The following is a 26197-nucleotide window of genomic DNA, read 5'->3' on the forward strand; positions in this document are numbered from 1 at the left end:
ACGACTCAGCGTGTTGTACCCCTTTGGGAGGGAGTGAATTCAGTTCCCCACTTGTCAGTGGCTGCCAGATGAGGGGCAGTGTAGTTCAGTGTCAAATTGCATAGTTGTGGAACTGGACTGGATTCAAATCTCTACTCTGGCACTTACAGCTGAAACAAGTTCCTTTCTTCCCTGCGCCTCGACTTCCTCACCCATAAAATGAGGACGCTAATAGTGCTGTTTCATGGGGTTGTCATGAGGAGTAAAGAGTTCCCATATACGCACTGCTTAACAGAGTGCCTGGCATGTAGCGCCACGCTGCGGACTGTCGGCCACTGCTGTTCCTACCCGCACCACCACCCTCATCATCATCAAGCAAGGATGTTCCCTCATTCTAAAAGCCTAGACAGAAGAGCCACACCAAGCTGAAATGTGGGATATTTGGCCCTCATTTTCTTTCCCAGTACAGCCAAAAACTCTCAGAGTTAGAGATGACAGAGTTCAGTGACCCAGTTAGTTATCTCTGTGTAAGGTATCTGACGACACTGATTTAATTAAGTTAGGCATGGATTATGAAATGGATGGTTTCACATACTCCATAGTTACATGAAATTCTAATTCCAAACTGTTCCTTTCTTTAATTTGAATTAATCTCTATGCAATCTTTATCAGATCTTTGTGGACCAAAAAGAAAGGACATTTGTAAGTGATTAATTGGGGTGATTGCAGTGGGGTCAAATTTGGCACCTAATGCATGGCCAGATGTTATTATCTACTGTGACTTGTCCATATCTACATACATAAACATTTCCTCCTTTTCCAAATTCATCTTAATTTCCTTTGAGATTTTGGTTTGCTTCCCTCTCACCTTTACTTCTTTGAACAATATTTGTCTGGACTGATGGAAAAGGTTGCAAAGTAAGAACATCGAAGGTACTTGAGAAATGCAACATGGAACCTCTCTGTGGAACATTTCCCAGATACCTGGGCCATGTCTTCCCTTGCCAGATGATTAAGCTCTGAAGTTTTTGAAAGCTTGCTCTAGGCTGAAGAGAAAGCACACTCACCCATGGTGTGTATGTGTGTGTGTCAGTGTGTGTGTGTGCACATGCGTGTGTGTTCATGTGTGTGCTTGCTCCCTTCAGCCGGCCAGTGCATTGACAGCCCAGTAGTGCACTGCCCAGTAGGCTGACAGTTGCCCAGAAGATCTCCAAACCTGGGAGGAGAGTTCAGTAGCGCGTGAACAGATAGGCGATACCAAAGGGAAGTGAGTAGCTAAGCTATAATCAGTACTGATAGATCGGAGTTTTTAAATGGTTGATTTTTGCTGGAAATTGTACTGCTTGTAGTTTCACTCAGCAAGATATCTTCATAGCATTAGACAACCTCACGTTACAATTGGGAGAACTTTTAAGACAGTAGCAGCAGCATCTCCACACTTGAAGAGCACTGTCACTGCGTTCCCCCCGGCCAGGGGAGGTTGAGTTTATATCGTGTGCCGGGATGAGTGGGAGAGTATCGGTTCACCAAGAAGCAATGCCCTCCTTAAAATTTTTCCTGCCCTTTTTTTCTTGCTCTTCTCTTTGGTGTTCACAAGCCCAGCCCGAGCAAGTGGTCTTTCACAAAGAAGCCAGGGAGGCCTCCTCCCTCCTGGTCGGTGGGGTAGTCGGGCTGAAGAACAAGGTTGTCAAGGCTGCAGAAGGAGGAATATTCTGAGGAGATGGCCACATGGGACCTCAGCCTCCTCTCAGGAGAGCCTTTGTCTCATGGGAGGAGCTTTGTAAAAGGGTCCCTCATGGCAGAGTTCTCCACTGAGTCAGGTACACCTTCTAGCAGGACTCGTCAGTATCTCTGTTAGGGGACACAGGCTGGCAGAGTTTCAGTTGCTTCATAAAATAAGTATAGAAAGTGAGGTAAGACAAAATTCTTACTGGTAGGTGAGAAGGCATTTCAAGAGGGAACGGTTAAAGAAAGTTGAGAAATCTGACCTTAAGGACTTATTTTATGTAAGGGAGCTTGATGGAGAAACTGGGCCTCCTAAGAGAGTATATTTAGAGGGAAATGGCCCAAGGTCATGGGAGATGAGATGACCCAGCCTCTGCCAACCCAGAGGGAGGTGGGAAGTAGACAGAGGGAGAAAACTCCGAGCTGGAAGCCTCCATGATGGAAGAGGCCATCTCACCTCAGGGGAGGAGGCATTTTGGAGCACTGGTCAGGCAAGAGTGGAAGGTAGTTAGGAGCCGAAGCGCAAAAGCATCCGGGAAAAGCAAGCAGGTGATTTAGCCGATTGTGGGTTCCCGAAGGGAAAGTTCACCAGCTGGGTGTTGACCTGGTGCAGCCTAGGTCCTGCTTTCAACTTGGGGTCAACTAGACCTCTGTAGGGTTTTCAAAAGCAGGCCCTAGTTTAGGTGACACAAGCCCCATTCTCCAAGCCTTTCCCTCCAGCTGCTAGAATTCTCCAACAAGTTCTCTTGCTCCAAGGAGGAAGATTGATTAAGAAGGGCCTTTTTCAAAGTGCTGGCTGCAGCAGGTATAGAGAGCACTTCTGTGGAGTAAGAAGAGCCTGGTCTGTCTGGGATTCTCTTTGTGGGATGTTACCCATCTGGCGTTTTGTCCAGGCTGCATTCTAGGCCATGTTGTTTGCTGCGGTTACTGGCCTTCTCCAGTGAGCCATACTTCGTTCCCATCTTAGTCCTTTAAAGTGTTTTGATCTTGATTCTACCCTGAAAATATACTAATTTATACTCCTAGCTACTTGGGCTGGAAAAAGTAAGGAGAAATTAGGTTTGGGGAAAGAAGAAAGTGTTTTGGTGCTGTCCTCATGCTGCTGTGCAGAGCTGATGCAGAATGGGCACTGAGTCCTCATCTGCCTTCAAGGGCTCTGTTCGCTGCTCCAGGGTCCCTTGCAAGAGTAGAGCTTCTTCATGATCTTCCTAGAGTACCTTTTCCACCTGCTGGAGAGAAAATTTGACACTGTTTTTTTTTCAGTTCTTCATGACCCCATCTGTTCTAGATTTACTTTTAATGGCAAATAATACTTGAAACCAAGTATTACTGTCCTTAGAACTTTACATTGGGCTTCTTGTTGGGCTCCATCCTGTCCTTTTGACATTGAGGTTTCCCAGAGCCCTCTCCTGGTCCCCTTCTTGCCTGGTAAGATGCATACATGCCAGAGCGTCAGTGGCCGCCTCTGTGGCATGCAGACCTGCACTGCCCTTCTCTCTCCTGAGCTTCTATGCCTCCCTGCCTTCAAAATGATCTCCCTGCCTCTGGCCTCAGCCCTTCTACCTACTCCCTTTGTAAGCCCAAAGCTGACCAGACCACTCTTGCAGTGATATTTTGGCACTGGCCACCTATTGCTTGAGAAAGCATATACAATTTTCTTAGTCGAATATTCAAAGTCCTCCATGAAGCACTGGCCCCTGTATATTTCTGCCTCATTTCCTGCCATTCCCTCCCTGCTATTTCTTCGTCCCCACCCCATCCCCAGGTGTTGGCATGCTAGACCTTTCCCTGCCCATGCGCCTCTGTCTAGATACCCTGCTTCCTCTTTGTTATCCTTGAAGGCCTGTGGGAAATGTTATCTTCTCTGAGACAGCATCCTCACCCCAGCCAGAGCCAGCCCTGTCCTCTGCTCATGCATCCGTTGGGGGCCTACTATGCACCATCGTTACCAACACTACTCCATGTCTGCCTCTCTGTTTGTTGGTGAGCAGCTGCTTGAGGTCTCAGGCTGAGTCTTCTGCTTCTGGCTCTGTGGTACCTCACATGATGCCTGGTGGTAGCTTCCTGGTGGTAGCTCAGTAAGATTGGTGGAATGAAGAAAGGAATAAAGGGATGATCCTGGAAGTGCAGCCTCTGGGCATGAGACGATACCTGCTTTTCTGTCGCAGGGTATCTGGGTAGAGCAGAGTGGAGCACATCTTCCCTTAATTCCCCGCTTACCTTTGGAAAGGCTTTTGCTAGTTAGAAAGCTGTCAGGCATAGTTTCTACCAAAAGTTGGCACTTTGGGTTATCACTTGGGTCAAATGCTACCCAAATAATCCCTGCCAGCATGGGTAAGAGATCTGGCTGCCATGATCAATGACAAAAGGCACATTATTTATATAGGCTTCTACCGATCTGCAGATGGGAGTGAATCCAGGCAGCAAAAGGAATCTGAACTTGGGTCACTTTTCTTGTTTCCCATTTGCAACCGTTCCACAAACATTGCCCCCTTACCATGTGCAACGCCTGTGCCATATCCTGGCAAGAGGGCCAGGAATAAGAGATGTGCCTTCCAGGAGCCCACTGTCCAGCAGGAGACAAACATTGATGGATGGTGACAATAGGGTTCTTAGACATAGTGGTGCTTCCTGACCCTGAGGCCCACATTAGTCTGGTTTATGATTTTAAATTTCCAGAGTCAGAAATGTTTCTGCGCAATACATATTGCATGTGGCTGACTTGTTTGGTCTTTTCAGACAGGTAGAGCTGGACACAAAAATAATATAGATTTGACTGCTGGTTCCACTTGAGAGGTTCTGGCCTCAGAATTCAGTTGTAGGAGAACACATCATCATAGGCCAAGAGGAGAGAGCAGGGAGAGGGGCCCTCTGTTAGGAGCCGTGTCATTTCTTGTATCTTATCTTCTGGTTACAAAGGCAATATGGTGCCTTTGGTGGGAGAAGGGTGGGGGAACTGAGTCATGCCACTTGACGGTGATTTTATTAAACAAGAGGCTACTAAATAGGGAAACAGTATGTGGGAAGAATGGGAGGGCTGACATTTTCTCCCTCCCCTGGACTCCTGTCAGAGCCACCTGGTCAGAGCCTGTGATTTCAGCCACCTGCCTTCTGCTTCCTAGATTAAGGGTGTCAACCTTCAGTCCATCAATCATTCCAATTTGGGCACAGTTTTATGAGTGTGAGGGGTTTCTGGAGAGAGAGTCAATGAAATTGCCAAAAAATTCCAAGACCCCAAGGAAATATTAAGCCCCTATTGTGTTGATTTAAACGGATTTTATCCATCACAGTGCACCAGCATTGAGAATATCTTATAGGCTGATGGAAATGGCCTGAAGGGGAGAACACTGATAATTCTGGAGAGAGGGAGAGAGGAGCTGTTCAGGAATAAAATCTCAAAGTCAGAGGCTGGCCTCCAGCACCCATGTGGTGGGTTTGGCCTTTGGGAAATGACATAAATAATGGAGAGAAGCGGCGCACACGGTACAAATGCAGGCGGGGCTGGGGCACGCACCACAGCAGGTGCGAAGGGCGAACGCTGGGTCTCCTCCGCCTTGTCAGTACTCTGGAGGTCTAGTTGCTACTTGTGACCAAGTTTTTGATCAAGGTGTAAATTCCTTCCTAGAGGGGAGGGGAAGGATCACTGTGCTTTCTTTAGCTTTTGAGTTACTCTTAACTCCATGAAGAAAAGGGCAGGCTCTGCCCCTCCAAGTGTGGTCTGTGGCACTGCCACCAGTCAGAGAACTGCTTGTTATCCATTCGCAACAAGAGCTGTCAGCTCTAACACTAAGCACATTGATTCAGCTGGCTTTCTTGTTAGGAGACTTCTTGGACGAAGGAAACTGCTGTGTTCCCTTACAACCTGAGGCTAGCTCTTGATCTCACCTCTGACTGCTAGTCTAGACCTCAAAGGCAGCCCATCTCTGCTCAGTTTTGCCAGCCAAGAATCATGAATTCATGCAAAGGAAAGCTAGAAAGCATAAGCTGTGCTGTTTTTAAAATAGCCCTTCCCATTAGACTTTTATACATAGATCATCAGATTTGGGGCTCACAAATTCCTTTTGTCTGCTGATAGATGGGCCAGGGAGGGTAGCAGTCAGTGAGGGTAAAATGGGAGAGAGGCACTGTGATCATAGGGCGGGGAGAGAGGTGGAGAGTTGGTTAGAAACCACGGCGGTTGGGTGGGGGAATCTTACATTATTAAGATTAAATTTAAGAAGCAAACCCGAAGTCAGTGTCGTAGCTCCCCCATAAATGCACCTAGACTGATGGATGGTGACTAGAATAAACATCCCTACTCCAGCTGTTAGGACAGTCAGTACGTCCACATCTTCTATACTGTCGCAAAAGGCTGTGGTTCTGCAGTGGCTTCTTCTGGGTCTGTGTTTGATCACAAGTTTCTGGGACCTGACACCTCAAAGTACTTTTTGTTCTGGTTTTCTTAATGCAGCACTAAATGTACCCCGTTGTAAACAGGCTGGGCCCCATTTTATATAATATGTACCTGAATTTTCATTTCCAAAAAGCGTCCAGACTCTTTGGAAAAACACAGTTGGTTTATAGACAGAGCTGTTGATCTTGACAGTCAGTCCGTTGCCTCTTTGGCTGTCTGTGCAGTATCTCCCCACCACCCTCTCCAACCGGGAGCTTCCCAGGGGTGTCGAGAGACCACAGGCACTCATTTAGCACCTGCTGTGCTGATGCTGGAAGAAGATGTAAAATGTCCGGCACATACATATAGATTTTAAGTTACAATTGTGGGGATGTTGTACCCTCAAAATTGTTGCAAGATAGCAGGACCTGAACAAACAACCAGACAAAGCTGGATGACAGGCAGGGTGCAAGTTGGTGGACAAAGGGGACATTGCCCATGTCAAGCACTGACTGGGTTCAAGGCTCTGGCTAGATAATGGGGTTAGGGAAGTTGGGGGACTGAATATGCAGCACAGTCATCATCCTTCAGGGCTTTTGATTGGTAGAGCTGCAGACAAAGACCCCACATTCAGCCATCAGTACGTAAGAGATTCAGCGTCAGCCTGAGGGAGTGCAGACAGCCGGGACTGCGAAGGTTCCATCAGGGAACATTTATCTGACCTTGAAGAAGGGTGAAGTTGAACAGATGGAGTTGGGGTTAGGCAATTAGGATTGCAGAGACATCAGGAGGTGGGGAGGAACCTGGTGCTATTTTCGAAGGATGGGAAGGACTCCTCTCAGCCTAGAGGGTGAAAAGTGGGAGGGAAAGAAAGCAAAAGCTGAGATGGAAGAAGGAGCCTATTGGCTTCTTTGAAGGACAGAGGGAGCCCTGGAACATCCTCTTCATTCCATACTCTTTTCTACTATAGAGCCTGCCTTGACTTCCCCACACTAAGCACCACCCCCATGACAAGGAGCCAGTGTCTCTGCCACGACGCTGTGCCTCACGGTGCCTGTGTCCCCGTAAGCCATTATCTACCCGTCTGTGTCGTCTACACTGAGAGTTCTTTGAAGACAGGGACTTGTCTCAGTCATCCTGCCACAAGGCATGGCCTTTGTAATACAGGCTGGACTTGCGAGGACTGGAGAGCATTGCTGGCCCATTTGAAGGAGCACAGAAATGGAAATGTGTGCAATACCTGGTGACAGTGCTCTTTAAGTGGGGTGAATGGAGATTCTAAGGAAGGAGTCCATCAGATCGTGAGGGTTTGGGATCATCCCTCTGGGTACCAGGACAAGGTTGCCAAAATGCCTTCCTCTGCCCTGTAGATATCCTGCTTGGTTTGGTGCCACTCAGGACCGTGAGTGTGTGTGTGTGTGTGTGTATGCACACGTGCGTGTGTGCGTGGGCGTGCACCTTCTCTCACACATAAAGGTGCACAACCACCCTGCTGTGCCCCTTTCCACCAGTGGACAGTATTGTTACTTCCCCTTTGGCTTTCCCACCCTACCTGGGTGCCATGGGTGCGGCAGGGACTCGGATTCGCCCCTATACGGTCCGTGTGGTGGGTCATTCATACATGCTCATAAACATCTGCCCTCGCCTGCTCTGTCCAGGGGTATTTTAGTGACGCCTGGAACACGTTTGACTCCCTCATCGTAATCGGCAGCATTATAGACGTGGCCCTCAGCGAAGCAGACGTGAGTATGCACCTGGCGTGGCCGCCACCTGTGTCCTCTCTCCTCTGTCTGTGCATACTCCGCTCCCTGCCCTGCAGTGGCATCACCTGGACAAGTCACAGATCCCAGTCACTTGATCTGAAACTAGGATTTCCTAATGAGAGCTGTAGGCAAGACGTGTTTCAGGGTAGAGCCTTATCCCAGGGCCTTTTGTAGACACAAATCACCTTTTGGAGGACAGGCCTTTTTGCAGCATTTACCCTGGTCACTAGTAGGCAAGGTAAGATAGGATGTCTCTAATTGTTTTCATTTGCTGTGTCAGAAGTGATACCCACAGTGGCGTATCTATAACATGTTTATTTTAGGGGGATGTTTCAAGTCGCCGTGTGGCGCGATGCTAGAATGTTCCCCTTTTGTAACACTGTCCTTTTCTTCTTTTTTCCTGTGGTGCTTCCTCTCCTCTGTGGCTTCTGAATGCTTGCCCTAACAGCACTATTTCACTGATGCATGGAACACTTTTGATGCCTTAATTGTTGTTGGTAGCGTCGTTGATATTGCTATAACTGAAGTGAATGTAAGTAGCAAACTTTGTGTCCTATATCATGGTTGTTTTCATTAAGTCTGACATAGAAGAGACTAGAGGCCCTGCCCTTAAATCTCCACACACTTTAGAAATCCAGACACAAATTTATTTTGAAAGACTAAGGATAATTTGTAGTTTCCTCTATCTCACCCCATCTCTATCTCCTTCCCCTGAAAAAGAGTGGGGAAGTCTATGTAGAATTGCCTTTTGGAACTAGAATAGTATTTCAAAAGATCTAATTAAAGTTATAAGGGCTGGGAGTTAATTGTGTGTCCGTGTGAATGTTGTCACTCACCAGTCGTGTGACCGTGGAAGTCATCCGAGTGCTATGTGCCTCAGTCTTTCCAGCTGTACATGGAGTTACTGATGTGCACCCTCGTCCCCGCAATGGTTCTGTGAGGGCACAGGCAGGAGACCCCACAGCCAGCTATGCCCTGAGCCTGTGGTGGCTGCTGCTGGTGCCCTCACCTGTACCGTGTCTGCTCTGAGTCTGACTGGTGACACTGGTGAACGTCCCACACCCAAAGGGTGATGCCAGCCAGTGGAAGGCTGCTTGGGGCCAGGGAAAAGAGGGCCGAGTGCAAACCAGGGAGAGGGTGTCAGTCCGCCTTTGTTACATCCAGTAGATTCACTTGAGGGGGAACAAGTGCAGTAGTGGCATTGTAGATGGAGTGAACCACTCTCCCTAGAAGCACTCTGAGCACCTCTCCCCCTGCAAAATTAAGAAGCGTGAGAAAGGGAGCCCCTCCTTCTGCCTGGCTCCCCTTGGGTCTGACCCATGCTAGACCGGAAGGCCTCAGGCAGGCAGAAAGGGCCCTGTCTACCTGATCTGTTCCCAGTTCATCAGCAAGTCTTAGTGGGCGTCCAGTGTGTGTGCCGAGCCTGTGCAGAGCCTTTCGAGAGAGTGGGCGGAGCACGGGGAGGGACTGTTGTGTGGTATTGGCTTTTGCTCCACAATGTCCAGCCCACCCCCTGCCCCTGATGCTCTGCCTGGTGACATCTGCAGGATTGAGGATTATAAGGTCCATCCTGGTGCCCAGACAGCCTGCATCACACAAGGACTGTGAAATCCCTGTATGCCACCTATCTGGGTCCATGCTGATCCTGGCGTGTGAATAGTAAGACAGCCACCAGCCTGGCAGTCCTAAGACCTGGCAGTTGCAGCCCTAGTTCCAAACTGACTTGGATTCCAGCTCCCTCATGGGCCAAGTGGGGTGAATAACATCTGCCCCCTTGCTGCAGATATGTTATAGTGATAAAATGATCGGAATATTCGGGAAAATGCTTGCTAAAAACCCCAAAGTTTTAGGGAGATACAAGTTTTGTATTATTCTAAGTGTAGATTTTCCCTGTAATAAGTAAAACAGACTGTCAGACGTGACTGTGCCCATGAGGGTGTGATTTAAGCCTCGTCATGCCACGCTATGACCAGGCACTCAGATGGTATTTTGCTAGACCTAGGTATACACATATTCCAACTTCTAAAGCCCAGACATGTAAATTCTACTTCATGTGAAATGTTCCATGTGTCAGCTATAAAATTGCCATTCAGATATGTAAATGATGCTTGGTTGTAAAATAAGCTGGTGCTAATGGGAGAACAGCAGGTCCCTAACTGGGCTGCCCTGAGCTCTCTCCGAAGTTTATGGCTAGACATCTGCCACCTTAATCATCTCACAACGCAAAGTGCTTACAATCTACTCGGAGGTATATTTACATGAAAATTCTGGAACATACCCTTCTGTGAGCCAGAGATGGCCTATAATGGAAGCGAAAATACAATAAACCAGCAGCAGGGCAGATCTCCCTGGACTGCTCAGCACTTCAAGTGCTGTGCAGGTGGTGGGTGTAAACACTTAGCTTCCGGGCACCAGGATGTGGCCAAGGTCTGTCCACCTGGGGACACCCAGCTTTCTCACGCCTGACCTGCCTGCTGGCTGGCAGGGGTGTAGCACCCATGTACTCAGGGACAGCACGCGCCCGGCTTCCTGGCTGCCTCACGTGTGCTGCAGGCTGGCCCTGCTCCTCCCGCTGCCCCTGTCCCCTGTGGCCCAGCTTTGCTCATCAGTGTATCAGTGTTGCTGTGTTCACCTTGCACCAGTCAGGAAAGGGGCAGGTCTACGCTGAAGTTTCTAGTTAGCATTTGACATTGGGGTATCTGTGCAACACAGGCTTTCAGGGGGCCCCTTCTTGGCATGCAATTAAACTTTCAAAATCACCTAGGCAGACACTCCCATAGTGTGCTTTCAGTCAGTGACCTTTTTCCTGGTCAGCTGTGGCCTGAGACCAGATATATTCCTCAGCCATGGCAATGCCAGTTCCCTACCCCAGGCCAGCAGAACACCACCTTCAGAAATCTCAGTGTCTCCTTGCTGGGCCTTGGAACAGAGGGGATGCTCAAGGCCACCTTCACATTTATTCCATCTTTCAACACACATTCACTGGGCATCTATCACTTACAGGCTCTGGGCTAGGCTGTGGGGAGGCACAAAGATAAAAAAGGACTGGGTGTCCTTAACCTCTGGTGTAAATACATGACAGTGGGACTGTTGGTTCTGACACCCCACTCCCCTCCACATGTAGTTCCCCTGGGGAGCAGTGCACATCACATCCTTGGTGGCCTTGTCCCCTGAGCTGAGGGGTCAGCTGTCAGCTGGGTGTGAACACCTTTGGTTCATCATTGGCTGGTTGTAGCTGCCATAAGTCATCATTGTTTGCAATGTTTAACCTGCCATGCTCTCTTCCCCAAACTCTGTTGATCTTTCTTTTCTGTTGCCTAATTGATTTTCATGTTGGTTTTATTTTTAGAAAATTGTAGCGGCAAGTATATATAAGCATATATACGGTGAAGTCCTTAAAGCAAAGCACTTCTAAAGAATGTGTGCTTGTTTTTGGCCTCTCCACCTTTGGTTTTCACTGCGCTCCACAGGACGTGCTAAGGATTGGTTGCAATCATCTAAATTGTTCCCCATCCCATAGATTGTCATCTCCAGCCTGGGGCCATCTTGGTCAGTCACACTTGGCTCTGTGACTTGCCAACATAGTCTTCCAGAATGAATGATCTGGCTGAGAAATGATTGAATTCAGCCTGCGTTTGTATTCTTTGCAAAAACGTTTTGGGTAGTCCTTTGCATGGTCCTGCCTGCGCACGCACCAGCCTGCTTCATCCTACTGTCCCCCTCCCATGTCCCCACACCCCGCTCAGTTCCTGGTTTGGCAGCACTCATGGACTTATCTCCATCACATTTGGTCCTAACCTCACCAGGCTGCTAAAATGACACACTGTGACTGCTGGGCTCCCTCTTGCTCCGTCCCTCTTTGATGCCTGTTTGTTCCTTGAATGATGAAATGACCCAGCAACATACTGTCCCTAACCCATGGATGGCTGTCACTGACATTTGTCTCTTCTCATTATCATTAGTGTCTGGGAGGCAAAACACTTGTTTAGAAGCTGTATCTGCCTTATTATTACTTACTTTGAAGGAGCAGGTAAAAAGTCATTAGGGAGCTCACTCTCAGAGATCCAGGAATGGTCCCTGCCTTTTAAGGTATGCTGTTTGGACCAGGTGGCTGACAGTCTCACTCATCTTCTTTTTCTGACCCCACAGTAAGGTTGTGTAGTCCCCCATTTCATATGTGAACCCTTTCCCAGGAGCCAGCTCAGCTGGGCACTGGGTTGTGGACACAGACCCAGCAACCCCAAATAAAGAAGCCCTCCTCCCAGAGGTGTTACCTGTGAGCTCAGAAATAGTCAGAGGGAAGACTGGCTTCTCCGCAATGCCTCGGGTTACCTGGCCCAGCTGTTCTGGGATGCTGGTTTGCTTCCTATCTGAATTAGAAAGCTGCATCCTCTCAGCTCTTCCAAGCACAGATAGAAATTAAAACAGAAAATGAAATGGACTGATTTCATTGATTTCACTTGGGAACCTCAGGGTCTTTTTGACTTCCACGGTTGCAGGGGGCTGCCCCAGAGCCTATGTGGTAAGAGCCTGCTTGAGAGCCCTGTGGGAAGAGGCTCGAGGGAACATCAGCAGAGCCCCAGGAATCTAAGGAGCTTTCTGGACCCTGACATGTAGTCCGGCCTCCTGAGGCTAAGGGGCTGTCTCCTGTAGGGTTCCCAGCTGAAGAATGTGACATCTTAGGGTGGGAAGGAACTGCCAAGTTTGTCTTGTCCAAGCCCTGAGGTGACACTGGAATTCCGCTTATTGAAAACTGATTAGTAGCCCCTTGTGGCCATGTTTGGAAAGCTACCTAGTGAAGAGTCCTTCCCCAGTCTGGTGTCCTCTAGGGGTGTCCAGCATAGCGTAGCCCACTTGCGTTCCAGCTCCACCAGTTCCCTTCATGTTGAAACCTCCTCCATCCCTTGTAGGGGAGATGGGGATGGAGTCTAATCGCTCTCTCTTCATCCGTGTACTGTTCCCTCGTCAACCCAGAAAGAACCCACTGTTCAGCCACAGCAGCCTGAGTGGGCTTTTCTAGTGACCCCACTCTGTATGGCCGCTCGAGATCTAAAGGGCATTAGCTGGTATAGGCCACCTGTTAACTACTCGGGCCAGCTTTACCCTGGCCCAGGACTGGAGTTCTCAGCTCTGGCAGCATATTTGAATCACCAAGGAGCTTTTAAAATTCCCAACATGGAGGTCTGGCGCAGTGGCTCATGCCTGTAATCCCAGCACTTTGGGAGGCCGAGATAGGCAGATCACCTGAGGTCAGGAGTTGGAGACCAGTCTGGCCAACATGGTGAAACCTCATCTCTACTGAAAATACAAAAAATTCGGCAGGCATGGTGGCGGGCGCCTGTTATCCCAGCTACTCAGGAGGCTGAGGCAGAAGAATTGCTGATATCCTGTAGGCAGAGGTTGCAGTGAGCCAAGATCATGCCACTGCACTCCAGCCTGGGTGACAGAGGGAGACTCTATCTCAAAAAAAAAAAAAAAACAACAAAATAAAATTCCCAACATGCAGATACGCCCCAGATCCATTAAGTAAGAATCCCTGGGGTGGGACCTGGGCTTCAGAGATTTTGTTAAAGATCCCCAGGTGGTTTTAGTGTTCAGGCTAGTATGAGAGCTGGCCTCCCCTTTTCATTGGGCTGACATTTGTCATTTGGGAAAAGCCATCCTCAGGGTTCTTTAAATTTGTAAGATATTTTGGCAACTTGCACTGTCCCCCCGGGGCTGCCAGTCACATCCTCCCCTGAAGCAGCCCCCCATGCCCAGTGGTGTGTGGTGGGAGGGGAGGTGTCGCAGGCGCACTGAGGGTGCATGAAGCCTGGTGTGCTGTTTGCTCTTTCCTTCCTCCCTCCCTCGCATGTTGTGCTGCCCTCTCCCTTTACAAATGCTGTCTCCTCTTCCCTTTTGTTCTTTTAAACAGAATATTCATGGTTTGAAGTTCATAGTCCATAGGTTGTCAGTTTCAAAGATATCAGTTGAAGAGATGTACACTTCGAAATTCAGTTCGGTTGCTGACTTTCACAAACTCTAAGGAAGGGGGCCGTGGATGGCGTATCAGACTTGAAGCAGAATAGGGAGAGGCCCGCAGGAGGGTCTTAGGCCAGACTGTGGCCAGGAGTGTCTTCCCTGACCAACAGGCCCCTTACTGTCTTGCAGGTCTGATACATAAGTTGTGCACATTTCAGAAGGATAACTGTAGAGCCGTCTCTCTCGTGCACACTGCCTGGTCCCCTGAACACAGGCAAGCAGAGGTGCACATGCGGGCACACTTAGCATGCACACTCACACCCCACACTCCAGCCAGAGAGGGAAGAGTGGAACCTTCCTGTGCACAGCCTTAGTGAGAATGATGTGGAAAATGATGAGAACTTTAAAAAATTAGTTCCTTCATTTGTTAAGGTCTTAAGTTGAAAAACATTGTCTGTCCCTTTAAGGAGCTGATATTTCTTTTGAGACGAACTAATAGAAGAGGGAAATAAAAATAGCAATCCTGGGTTTTTGATAAACCTGTGGCAGAGTTCCCATTCTGAGCATCCCAGGAGAAGCAAGGACCCCTTTTAAACTCTGTCAGAACCTGTTCCTCTTGGGTTCATTGTCACATTACTGAATTTCAGTTTTTCTGTGATATGCTGAAACCCCTTATTTTCTGTGAACTTTGTAGAATTTCCCTTTGGTCTCAGGAGGTAGCCCTTGATGCTAGAGAGGCTTCAGAACTGAGCTCTACCTTTCCCCAGATCCCCAGGGAGGAGGCCCTCGAGAAGTGAGCACATCCAGACGTGCACACATGTCCCTTAACTTTGCAGACACACTGTACAGAAAGCGTCCTTGAAGCCCCTAACCGGAAGAGCCTCATTTCTCTCTGTCGGCTCCTGGTGACACCACTGAGGGGAAAAGAGAGGCTGGCACATGCTGGCTCTGGTTCCGCTGACTGTTGCTGTTTAATGTAAAGATGCCTCCTGGTGCTGGCTGGAGTTTGCTTCCAACTCCTCTGTGTTCTCTCAGACACTTTCTGAACACTCAGGTAGTGCTAGGCACCATGCTGGGCACGGAGTGGAGTGAGGCAAGGCCCCTGCCCTCCCTGGGGTGGGGGTTGGGGGGCAGGTAAGCACCAGTCATTACAGATTCTGCATCCTGGGGCCGAGGGACAGGAGCACAGCCAGACCCTGGAGGAGGTGGAGCTGCTGAACCACAGGGGAGCTGGTCCTCCACTGTTTCTTCCAAAGACTCATACGGACCTGCACTCCCTCTTATGTGAAAGCTGTCTGAGCTGTGGGGCAGGCAGCGAGGGTTTCTGTAGGGAAGCCTGCCTCTCTCCTCCTCGCCCTGACTCAGTCTGTCCAGCTTTTCAGCAGCCCTGCCTAAGAGGCTGTTGTCAGACATACACCACCCAGGCGTTTAGTCTCATAGGAACAGAGTGTGGTCCAAGGGGGTTTGTGGCCCGCAGGCAGGCACCACTGCTTGCCCCTCTGCTAGAGACATTCTGTTCCTCGGGGCTAGGAGGCCTGCTGCAGAGCGGTTAGTTCCTGAGACCCACAGCCCTGACTAAGCCAAGAGAACTAGCCTCCTCGCGAGAAGCGGGGGCACACTCTGCATCTGTTGAGGTCTTGCAGCACTGCCTTTACTGGATGCCTGTCAGCCTGGGCACAGCATGTCCCCAGATGTGAATTAGAAAGTGGTACTGTGTCCATGCCCATGTCCATGGCTGCCTGCCCTCAAGTCCACCTCCAAGGAGAGCCACTGGTATTTTCTCAGGGAGGGAGCAGGTGTGGTGTCTAAAGATGGGAACCACACATTTTTTTAAAGGGGGAAATGCTCTCTGGAACCATTGACTCCTTCCTGGTTCATTAATCCATTTTCAATCTTTGATTTCTTAAAGCCAACTGAAAGTGAAAATGTCCCTGTCCCAACTGCTACACCTGGGGTAAGATCAGTGACTAGTCCCCAGGGGCTGGGCCTTTTCCTTAAGTTTATTTGACCATGTCGAGTTTTCCACTGGTTTTTCTGTATTCTCCATGATTGTCCTTCCAGAACAGTGTCTGCAGTGGTTTGCATTCATCATCAGTGTCCAGTACTCTTGACCAGCCCAGCGTTCTCCTCTAACACAGTAGAATACGTGGACATGCATGTGCTGTGTGGACGCAGTTTTCCGAGCTCTGTGTTGTTAGCATGTAACTCTTCCTTTCATATCATGCTTTTTAAGATGAAAAGGCCCTAGAATCACATCTTCAGTTCTTACCTCTGTCACCTTTGCATCTGTTGCTGTTTTTCTGAAAGTGTTGCATGTTCTACTTTCCATTGGGTTTGACCTCTCCATGATAACCCTTCAGAACTCTGAAGAGAGCAATAGAATCTCCATCACCTTTTTCCGTCTTTTCCGAGTGATGCGATTGGTGAAGCTTCTCAGCAGGGGGGAAGGCATCCGGACATTGCTGTGGACTTTTATTAAGTCCTTTCAGGTAAGAGCCATGCCAAGGACTTCTCTCTTTGTCTTTGAAGATCATATGTAAGTCAGTGATTGTCCCCATCCTAGAGGACCCAGGCTCCCCCTGTGTGGCCACTCTGTGGACCTAAATCAATAGAAAACATGGAATGCTGGAGAGACCCAAATCAGCATTTCTTGGGTCAATCACATGGGATTACTTGCCTAAAGGAAACAGAAGAGAAAGCAGGAAGGATCCGTAGCTGAGAGATCTGTAGCATTTCCAAGACTGAGAGAGGTGTGGGGCCTGCAGCCCTGCAGTGCCCCCGGGATGCCTGGTGGTGGTGGTGAGTGCCAGGTCCCAGCAGACTGCCTGGAAGCCCAACAGCCTCTCTCTGACACCTTTTCCTCATAAGGCTACAACAGTGCTGTGTCTGTTGGCTAGTCTAGATACAAATCAGAAACCACCACCTGGGCCAGTGCACTATCACTGGGTTATCCTGCACCTGGAAGGGTCACAGAGTTCGGGATGTTTGGGCATACACCATGTCTCATTTGTCACCTCTGATTCTCCAGGCTGGCACAGCTCGGTTCTAGACTTTCCCAAGTAGAACCAGCTTTTCCCGTACCTGCCAGTACCCTGCCCCAGACATTCTAGCCTTCTGGACTGATTCCATTTGGAAGAGAAGGTGTGGGAAATATAGATTCTTAGTAAAAGGTGGACCCATGTAGGGAATTTGTGGATATCTACAAGCATTAGAAAGTGAATCCTGCATCTTCATTTTTTAAATTATTTGACTATTTTTCATTCAAAAGTTATAAATGTTTACAATAACAAATGAAGCTGTCCAAAGGTATATAAAGAGAAATTTCAAACTTGGCCCTCACCCACCCCTGGGGTAACCAGTGTTACCCTCCCAGTAAGCATTTGTCCCTAGTAGATGGGATTTTCACAGGTAAAAGGGAGAAGGGACAGCAAGCGGGGTGGTGCAGGCACTCACAAGGGAAGTCACAGATCCTGCTGGGGAGAATGAGGTTGGAGGAAGGTAAAGTGGGGGCCTCAGGCAGGTGAGCCTTGAACTTGCTAAGGCACAGAATCCTCGACAGTTATTATTCATTTAAAGTACCAAAACTTGGGAACAAACTGCTATAAAAATAGATAATTCAGAGGTAATGTTATCTCACTTTTTAAAGAAATTCTTAAAGATTCAATTTGCCACAGATAAGAAAGTCATGTTCCAGAGCAGCAGTTCATAAAAGCAGAGAAACTGTGCAAACAAAAATCGTAAACATTTGGCAATCTAGGAAGAAAATGCACGTAGGTATGTTGAGGAAAGCCTGAAACGAACTCTGTGGGACCCTGCTGAGCAGTCCAGCTGCAGGGAGGGCCAGGCTGGCAGGCACAGGTCAACAGCTGGCACAGGTCTGAAGGTGGCTGAGCACCTGTGAGCCACTGACTTTCTGACAAGCTCTCTCGGATAGTAGAGAAAGCGGGTGCTTTAAGCATGTGTTCCCAGAATTAAGCCTAACACTCTGGGCACCCTGTGCAGGTAGACGTGTTGGTCACATGTGATGAGGTAAGACAGCAGTTGACATTCAGTGAAAGGACGGGGGATCTGTCAGACACTCGTACTTGTATTTGGTGTTTATGAAGGGAGCCACACTTGGCGACCCCCCAGCTCACTCCTTTTCTTCCCTGGCCCAGCCCCCCAACTTAGCAGTTCTTTCAGAAGGTGTACATCTTAAGAGAGGTATTTTGCATCCTACAGCCACAGCCAGAAAGTGGTTCTTCCCCTCTGACCCAGTAATTCCACTCCTAAGACTTCACCTTAAGGAAATACTTCAGCAGAAGCAAGGTGGTTTTGCATAAAGATATTCCTTTGCGACATTATCTACAATACCGCCCCCCAAAACATACCCACAAAAGAAAGTGGAAGTACTCTAAATGTCCAGTGTTCTGGAATGGTTTGATCAATTATAATTTCACCCCAAAAATCCAGTAATGAATTTAAGGATTATGAGAGTTACGTGTCTGTGTTGAAAATGTTTAGGGTTAGGCTACAGGGTTAATGACCGTGGAAAGCACATCCTGCCTGTAATATTGTAACACTGGGCGTGCATGTGGATGGTGTCTTCAGGACTAAAGTAGTTGGGCAGGGCTGGGATTTAAACGGTTCTTCCTCACTGTCGATATTCTTTCACGGTAACACGTGGAATAGAAAGGAAGCATGTGGCCACTCATGGGTCTTCTCAGGCTGTGGCGGGCCGTCACGGGGACAGCCGGCTGGTGCTGAGCCAAGTGCCTTTTCTCTCCCAGGCGCTCCCGTATGTGGCCCTCCTCATAGCCATGCTGTTCTTCATCTATGCGGTCATTGGCATGCAGGTAAGCTCCAGCCATCTCGCCCTCAGGGGCCCTTTCACTGGGTAGCCCCAAATCTGTGGCAAGATGTACCCTGACCAAGTGAAGTAGAAGCATTGTGATTTTTCAGCCAAATGCCTCTGCTGAAGCCTAGGAAGATGAGAAAGACAAAGCTGCTTAGTAGAGAGCTCCAGGGGAGGCCCAGGCTCAGATGAATGTGGAGAGGTTAGAATGCACCAGGAAAAACTGCATGTCATGGCAGAAGAATTATGCTTTATCATAACAAAGTGAAATTCACTTGAAACTAACTATTTCCAGATGCCAAGACTGAAGAGAGAAGCAAGTAGCCCCTCGTGGGTCTTTTCAGTCTGTGCCGAGCCGTCGCGGGAACAGAAGGCTGGTGCTGAGCCAAGTGCCTTTTGTGACCATTGTTGTGCTTTAGTAGCTCACCTTTAAAAAGAGGCATGAAACTGGGCTCTTCTGTGACCCAAGCAGAGGGGCTGCACCCTGTTTCCCAGTTCCTCCTGGGCATGGGAAAGGGACTGGGCCTGCCTAACAGAGGAGCCCTAACATCAAGTGGGCAGTGGGATGGGTTGTGGGTGGAGGGAGGCAGCCTAGTCTAAGAATGGAGGCAGTCGAAGAGCCCAGGTGGCTGTAGATCTCTGCTGGCAGGCTCCTTGCAGATTCTCCACGTGTGCAGGTGCTGTCTTTCAGGTAAAGGAGGGATGTAAGTCAGAAAGAAGTAAAGTGATTCTATGATTTTTGGGGCAGAGAAATGGTAGTGCTTTTTTCTTTTTTCTTTTTTTTTTTTAAAATCCTGAAAGCATAGAAGCATTTGCAGATCTCTGGGAATCTTACCAGGAGTTATGAAACAAAAGTCAGCATACTTGAGCCTCTGTGATTCAGCAGCACGTGGTGCTATGTGCCCTGGAAGGTCTTTTATCACATATGTTCTCATAAAAAAAAGCCATCTCAGAACTGCAAGCTGCATGGCACACACAACCCCAGATTCACCCAGCAGGCGTTTGTAAGCATCTGCAGGTTTCTCTAGAATGTCAGTCTGCTCCCTAAATCTCACAAGTAAAACTCTTTAGTACCTTCCCATTGCCCTGAAGATAAAGCCCACTCTTCTGCCCGGGGCTCACAGCCCCTGCCTGTTGCCTCCTGCCCTTGTCTCCAGCCTGGTCTTTTATCTGTCTGCTCATCACACGTTATTTTCATTCCCTCGGTATCTATGCTGTCACCCTGCTCCTATGCACATGGTGCTCCCTCCACCCGAAACACTCTTCGCCTTTCCTATCACCTGATGTATCTTTCAGTTCTGAGTTTACATGTCACTTCCCCCTAGAGGCCTTCCCTGACCCAGCCCCCCAGCCTTCAGTAGATGAGCCTGTCTCACGCTTCCCTGTGTGTCTGGACCACCCCAGCATCATCACTGGGGTTTGATGTTGCCTGGCTACCTTTGTGTCTCCCCCAGGGGAGATCCGCGAATGTGAGACCGTGCCCCTCTGGAGCACCACGTTCCCAGTGTGTAACCTGCTGCCTGGCACATGGTTGTGCCTGGCAGATCTTTTTTGAATGAGTGAAGTGCCAGGTACCATGAGAAAACCCTAGCTGGTAAAGATCAAACCTGAGTTAGTTCTAAATTCACATACGGATTTTTTTTGCATGACGAAATCTATTCTCTTTTTCCTGACAACTTCTCCACCTAGATGTTTGGGAAAGTTGCCATGAGAGATAACAACCAGATCAATAGGAACAATAACTTCCAGACGTTTCCCCAGGCGGTGCTGCTGCTCTTCAGGTGACTGCAACTGGCTTGGGCGGTGCTCCTGGGCAGGGGGGTCCGCTAGGCGTGGGTCCAGAGGGACGGAGGACACAGGTTATTAAAGCAGTGTGCCTTTCTCAGTTGATTGTGATGGCTTTTTGTTTTTGTTTGTTCTGTATTCTTAAACACAGACCCTAGCATTTCAAACACAGGAATTTTGCTGGATTGTTAAAACTGCTGTGGTAATCCCGATTGTGGCTGGCATAAGGTTTATTCATTTGGGAGTTAGTAGGGCTACTTAGGCCACCTGAAAAATTGTAGGATGTACGTTTATGCATGGAGGCATGCACTTGAACACGACCAGGAAGACAGAAACTTAGCAAAAACGTCAAGGCCTTTTGCACAGCCAGTGGGGAACATCCTAAGATGTATGATTTCAAATTTTTTGGGATTGCTTTTAACGTCAGTTAATTAACTTTGTAAAACAAGCTGCCCTCATAGTGAGAAAACTTTCTAGAGATCATGAAGTATTTCTAATGACTCTAGTGACTGACAAGTCATTTGCAAGTTAGGTGGTTTCCAGCTCTGCCTTCAACAAAATTGAACAGAGACTTAAGTTGTTAAGTATTTTGGTCATTAAAAATAATCAATAGGCCAGGTGCAGTGGCTCACGCCTGTAATCCCAGCACTTTGGGAAGCTGAGGTGGGTGGATCGCTTGAGCCCAGGAGTTCGAGACCAGCCCAGGCAACATGGCAAAACCTTGACTCTACTAAAAATACAAAAATTAGCCAGGTGTGGTGGCAACTGCCTGTAGTCCTAGCTACTGGGGAGGCTGAGCCCAGGAGGTCGAGGCTGCAGTGAGCCAAGATCACACCACTGCACTCCAGCCTGGGCAACAGAGCAAAACCTTGTCTCAAATAATAATAATAATTAATTACTGTTAATTATACAAATGTTTAAAGTAGAGAAGACACAAAAACAAGCATCCATTTATATGCAGACAGTTAGCGCGCTTGCATCAGATGATGGCTGTAAATCCAAGGGAATTGCAGCAGGACCTCCAGTTACTGTGATAAGTTGCACGTGAAAATCAGTAGGAATTTCACATTTCCATTAATTCAAATTGGATTTTCTTCAAATGACTTAGGTTTTGCTCTAATTATGAGTTTTTCTCCCCTAAGATCTAAGCTTCAAATTCCTTCTTTCCCCCACTAAAGCCCCTTTGTTCTTCATCTGAAAAAGGTGTGCAACAGGTGAGGCCTGGCAGGAGATCATGCTGGCCTGTCTCCCAGGGAAGCTCTGTGACCCTGAGTCAGATTACAACCCCGGGGAGGAGTATACATGTGGGAGCAACTTTGCCATTGTCTATTTCATCAGTTTTTACATGCTCTGTGCATTTCTGGTAAGTGAGCAACACAGCTCCCCCTCTCAATTTACAGATGCTTATGTAGCAGTCAGCGTTCACACAAATGGCCTTGCCCTGTCCCATCGCCTGAGGACAATTGATGTGGATGAGCACTCTGGACTCCACTTGGCAGTTGAGGGCTTTTGTTTAACCAGGCGTGTGTCACTGCCGCCACCTTTGTAAGCAGAGATTTGGTGCTCACTAATCGGCTTGGAGCAATTACCAATCACCTTAGCTTCTTAGGGTTCCTTTCTAAAATTTCAAAGCCAGTGCATATGGTGGTGACCTAAGAGTGTGAATTATTTGGTGATAATGAAATTATAAAACTGCAATGTGTTTCAGAAGGCCTTCCTTCCCCAGGACTTAATTAAAGCCATTCCAGAAAGCTAGAATCACACTCTTTTCTTAAACATTCTCCAAATAGAAAGTTTTTACAACTTCTCTTGGAGACATGGGTTCCCATGTTTCATGTCCATGTCATTAGAAAGCCTGTGCTCAGTTCTAACGCAATCCAGCTGCAGCTGAAGTTCTTCCTTTCCTATTTGCTTTTTCAGATCATCAATCTGTTTGTGGCTGTCATCATGGATAATTTCGACTATCTGACCCGGGACTGGTCTATTTTGGGGCCTCACCATTTAGATGAATTCAAAAGAATATGGTCAGAATATGACCCTGAGGCAAAGTAGGTTGAAAAATATTTGATTTGGCGTGTGTGGGTGGATTTTGGAATGTCAGCTTTTTTTGTGGAGTGGACTGAAAGTTCGGGCCAGCTGGTACTGTTCCTGGACCTTAGATTGTATTTTACTTCCAGGGGAAGGATAAAACACCTTGATGTGGTCACTCTGCTTCGACGCATCCAGCCTCCCCTGGGGTTTGGGAAGTTATGTCCACACAGGGTAGCGTGCAAGGTGAGTGTCCTGTGTGCGTGTCTGACAGCCTGTCTTGTAGAAGCTTGCTTCATTTAACAAACACTTGTTAAGTGACACAGCCAGGCCTTCTGTCAGTTGCTAGGGATGCAGCAATGAATAATATGTGGTTCCTACCTCTGGGGAAATCTCAGATTTGTAACTCTTTGGACACCCTCTCAGGAACCATCAGAAGAGGAAGGGAATTCTGTAATTTGTCATTGGGTGGATGGTAGAGAAGGCGACATTTCAGTCCGGTCCAGAAGGAACACAGGAGTTTGTCAGAGGCAGGGAGGGCTCAGAAGGAGGCAGGAGAATGGACATCGTAATGGCAAAGGGTGAGCCATTGGGTCATCCTTTGGCTAGGACATAAGAGGAAGTCAGAAGGCCCCAGGTACAAGCTGAGCCTTCTCTGTCCTGCTGAGGTCCAGGAGAATGGGGAGGAAACGTGAATTTCAGGTTCCCATGTTAGGAAGTTGGCTGTTGGCAATGGAGAAGTAGACCTGAGGCAGGGGGATCAACCAGGAGAGCCAGAACGAAGGCAGCAGAAGTGGGAAGAGATAGGAGCAGTCGCTTGGAGATCCACTTAGGATGTGGAGTGGGGAGGACTTGGTGGCCTGGGTGAGGGGAGGGGGAGTGCTAGGAGAGCACATCTCCCAGCCTCGGCATTGGGGGACATGGTGCTCTGTGTTCCACACGTCCCCTCTGCTACAGAGCTTTGTGGCCACCACAGGAAATGGGGCCCCTTTGCTGGCACACTAGGCTCTAGTCTCTCAGGGATGGATGCAGATCTCCCAGTGCAACGCAGTTCTGTGTTTCCATGCCAGAGCACGCTCTCAGGAACCCTCAGTGAGACTTTTCCTTCCACAGAACTCACGGTGTAGCACCTTACATTTGTTGCAGCGACAAAAAAGATTTTCCTTTTTCAAGGAAAACGCAAGGTTTGCCTCTTGAAACTCTGCCTTCTAGAAATTCATACAGTCTGCATAGCAACTAGTTCTTGCTCCTCATGGATCCAAGGAGATCCTGGGGTCAGGCGTTTTTACCACTCCAGGATGCTGAGCCAGCTCTAGACAGAAACCAAGGTAGCAGAACAGAGTCTAAAATATGTTTCAGACTCTCAAAGAAATCCCTTGAGCCAGACTCATGTTCCCTGCCCTGAAAATCCAGAAAGCCTTCTAGGCAAGGCCTTAGGGTCCTTGCCTCTCTTCAGGCCGGACTCTGGATATTGAAACAGAGCTTGACTTTTTTTTTTCCATAAACTTCCCAGTACTGGCCTCTTTTCTGCTTTCCAAGAACAGTGTGGGATCCCGTTCACTGATGTCTTCTTGTGTTTAAATTTCCAGACCCTTTTACATAAAGCTTTCAAATGTCCTTGAGGCACAGTCATCCATTTTGCTGACTCAGGAACTTACCAGGAAAAGTGAACAAATGTCCAGGGTTCCCTGGCTGCCTGTGCTGGTTTTGAAGAGGGTGCCGGGGTTGGTAGGAGGACTAGGAATTTGGGTGGGATGGACTTATGCAGACACAAGATTCCAAATCATCAATATGGAAGAGAAAGAAAATCTTTTCTTTTGGAACATGCTGTTAATGAAAAATAAGAAGTTTTTAAATATTATCAACATCACCATTAATTTAGTGCTTGCCATTTGCCTCACACAAAACTCTTTGTGTCCGTGAGTCCTTTAATCCTTGCAAGTTCCCATCCATTGGGCATGTCATCTGCATTTACAGGTTGAAGTGACTGGGGTCCAGAGAGGGTGTACCTCACCCAAACCCCCTCCAACTCTCATTGCTGGTGTTAAAGGGATCAGGATATAGAAGAGGAGTGGGGAGCATGGATCCTGCTCTGAAAGACCAAAGCCTGGGAGAAGCCACATAGGCTCATGCAAAATGCCACAAGATGTACATGATGGTCTAACTAGGCAAGGTCTGAAGGACATTCCCTGAGTTGGGAATAGTAATGGATCCCGTCGGTTGAGAACCTAAGTCCCAGGCCCTGTGCCTGGCCCATTGTCTTTTACTTCCTTTAACCCTCACAACAGCTTTAAAAACATGCTTGGAGCCGGGCACGGTGGCTCACACCTGTAATCCCAACATTTTGGGAGGCCAAAGCAGGAGGATCCCTTGAGGCCAGAAGTTCAAGACCAACCTGGGCAACAAAGCGAGACCTCATCTCTAAAAAAACATAACAAAACAAAAACAATGTGCCTGGAATGGAGGTCTGACCCTAAGATCTCCATTGAGATTAGTGAAAAAAAGGAGAAGACTGTTTGAACAGTGAAGTTTCACGGTTTAAAAAACAAAACATCATCTGCGTGTTAACATTTATATTTCATGACTAAACCTTTGATCTTTGTCATCCCAGAGTCCCCTAAGTGGTAGGTTGTATTAATCAGGGTTCTCCAGAGAAACAGAGCCAATAGGATGGATATGGAGGTGTATATGTATGTATGTGTGTGTGTGTGTGTGTATTTGTGTGTATATATGTGTATATGTATATACACACACACAGAGGTTTATCATGGGGAATTGGCTCACGTGATCATGGAGGCTGGGAAGCCCCATGGTCTGCCATCTGCAAGCTGGACCTGGTGTTGGTGTCCACTCTGAGTAAAGTCCTGAGAACCAGGGGAGCCCATGGTGTAAGCCTCAGTCAAAGGGCAGGAGACAATTGATGTCCCAGCTTAATCAGGCCTATAGAGAGAGAATTAAATCTTCCCCCACCTTTTTGTTCTCTGTGGGCCCTCATCAACAGAATGAGGCCCACCCACATTGGGGAGGGCATTGCTTTACTCACTCTACCCACTCTACCAATTCACATGCTAATCTCATCTGGAAAAACCCTCGCAGACACACCCAGAAATCATGTTTAACCAAATTGGCATCTCGTGGCCCAGTCAACTTGACACCTAAATTAACCATCATATGCGTACCCCCAAATGGCTGTTGAATGGAATTGAGGGTTGACTAGAAAAGAGATGAGTGATAAACGGAAAATAAACATCCAAAAGGATATGGTCGTGGTCACTCATTTGCATTCTACAAAGAAACCTTCCTTTCTGTTTACAGAGATTAGTTGCCATGAACATGCCTCTCAACAGTGACGGGACAGTCATGTTTAATGCAACCCTGTTTGCTTTGGTTCGAACGGCTCTTAAGATCAAGACCGAAGGTGAGCATTCCCTGCCAGCAAGACAAGATGGCAGGAAAGGAGAGAGACATCACATCCCATCTTGCCTTCCTCATCTGGGCCTTTTCTTGGCCAAGGGGAGGCCCTGGGGAAGGGGCTGGCAAGTAGAATGAAGATGTCCATGCTGGGCTTGCCGGCTGGCCCCTGCCTCCTGTTTCCTCATCCTTTATCTCCTTCCTTTATGCTTCACTTTGTCCCAGAATGTTTTGAGTTGACTCATACTACTGCTTACTACATAGCAAGGGAAACAGGCAGGGTATCGGAGCAGAGACGAAGCCATCACAAATGAACTCACTCCAACCATCCCTAACTAG

At 48.2% G+C, this 26197-nt stretch overlaps 1 protein-coding gene across 22 annotated transcripts in view, besides 3 other annotated features; it reads left to right on the forward strand.

The window, feature by feature from the left end:
- The window catches only part of CACNA1D (calcium voltage-gated channel subunit alpha1 D), a 319123-nt gene that overhangs the window by 259653 nt on the left and 33273 nt on the right, over window positions 1-26197 (forward strand). For 8 of the 22 annotated variants that reach the window (XM_011534094.3, XM_017007141.2, XM_017007137.2 and 5 more), the window contains 10 exons: window positions 7735-7818; window positions 8288-8371; window positions 15710-15754; window positions 16161-16289; window positions 18570-18635; window positions 20324-20415; window positions 21623-21782; window positions 22340-22467; window positions 22597-22693; window positions 25763-25865. In XM_011534094.3, coding sequence (XP_011532396.1) covers window positions 7735-7818; window positions 8288-8371; window positions 15710-15754; window positions 16161-16289; window positions 18570-18635; window positions 20324-20415; window positions 21623-21782; window positions 22340-22467; window positions 22597-22693; window positions 25763-25865 — 988 coding nt within the window. The remainder of the gene's footprint in view (window positions 1-7734; window positions 7819-8287; window positions 8372-15709; window positions 15755-16160; window positions 16290-18569; window positions 18636-20323; window positions 20416-21622; window positions 21783-22339; window positions 22468-22596; window positions 22694-25762; window positions 25866-26197) is intronic. The other 14 variants (NM_001128839.3, XM_005265448.4, XM_047448874.1 and 11 more) reach the window with 4 other exon arrangements.
- Window positions 9843-10359: an enhancer, noted in NCBI's record as "H3K4me1 hESC enhancer chr3:53798133-53798649 (GRCh37/hg19 assembly coordinates)". NCBI's record gives its function as "activates a minimal SCP1, AML or CMV promoter by ChIP-STARR-seq in naive H9 embryonic stem cells {active_cell/tissue: H9 hESC(naive)}" and the evidence as "EXISTENCE:reporter gene assay evidence [ECO:0000049][PMID:30033119]".
- Window positions 14643-15144: an enhancer, noted in NCBI's record as "H3K4me1 hESC enhancer chr3:53802933-53803434 (GRCh37/hg19 assembly coordinates)". NCBI's record gives its function as "activates a minimal SCP1, AML or CMV promoter by ChIP-STARR-seq in primed H9 embryonic stem cells {active_cell/tissue: H9 hESC(primed)}" and the evidence as "EXISTENCE:reporter gene assay evidence [ECO:0000049][PMID:30033119]".
- Window positions 19757-19886: an enhancer, noted in NCBI's record as "active region_19973". NCBI's record gives its function as "activates an Ori minimal core promoter by ATAC-STARR-seq in GM12878 lymphoblastoid cells {active_cell/tissue: GM12878}" and the evidence as "EXISTENCE:reporter gene assay evidence [ECO:0000049][PMID:35858748]".

Source organism: Homo sapiens, chromosome 3 (genome assembly GCF_000001405.40).
Source record: "Homo sapiens chromosome 3, GRCh38.p14 Primary Assembly".
NCBI classification, from domain to species: domain Eukaryota; kingdom Metazoa; phylum Chordata; class Mammalia; order Primates; family Hominidae; genus Homo; species Homo sapiens.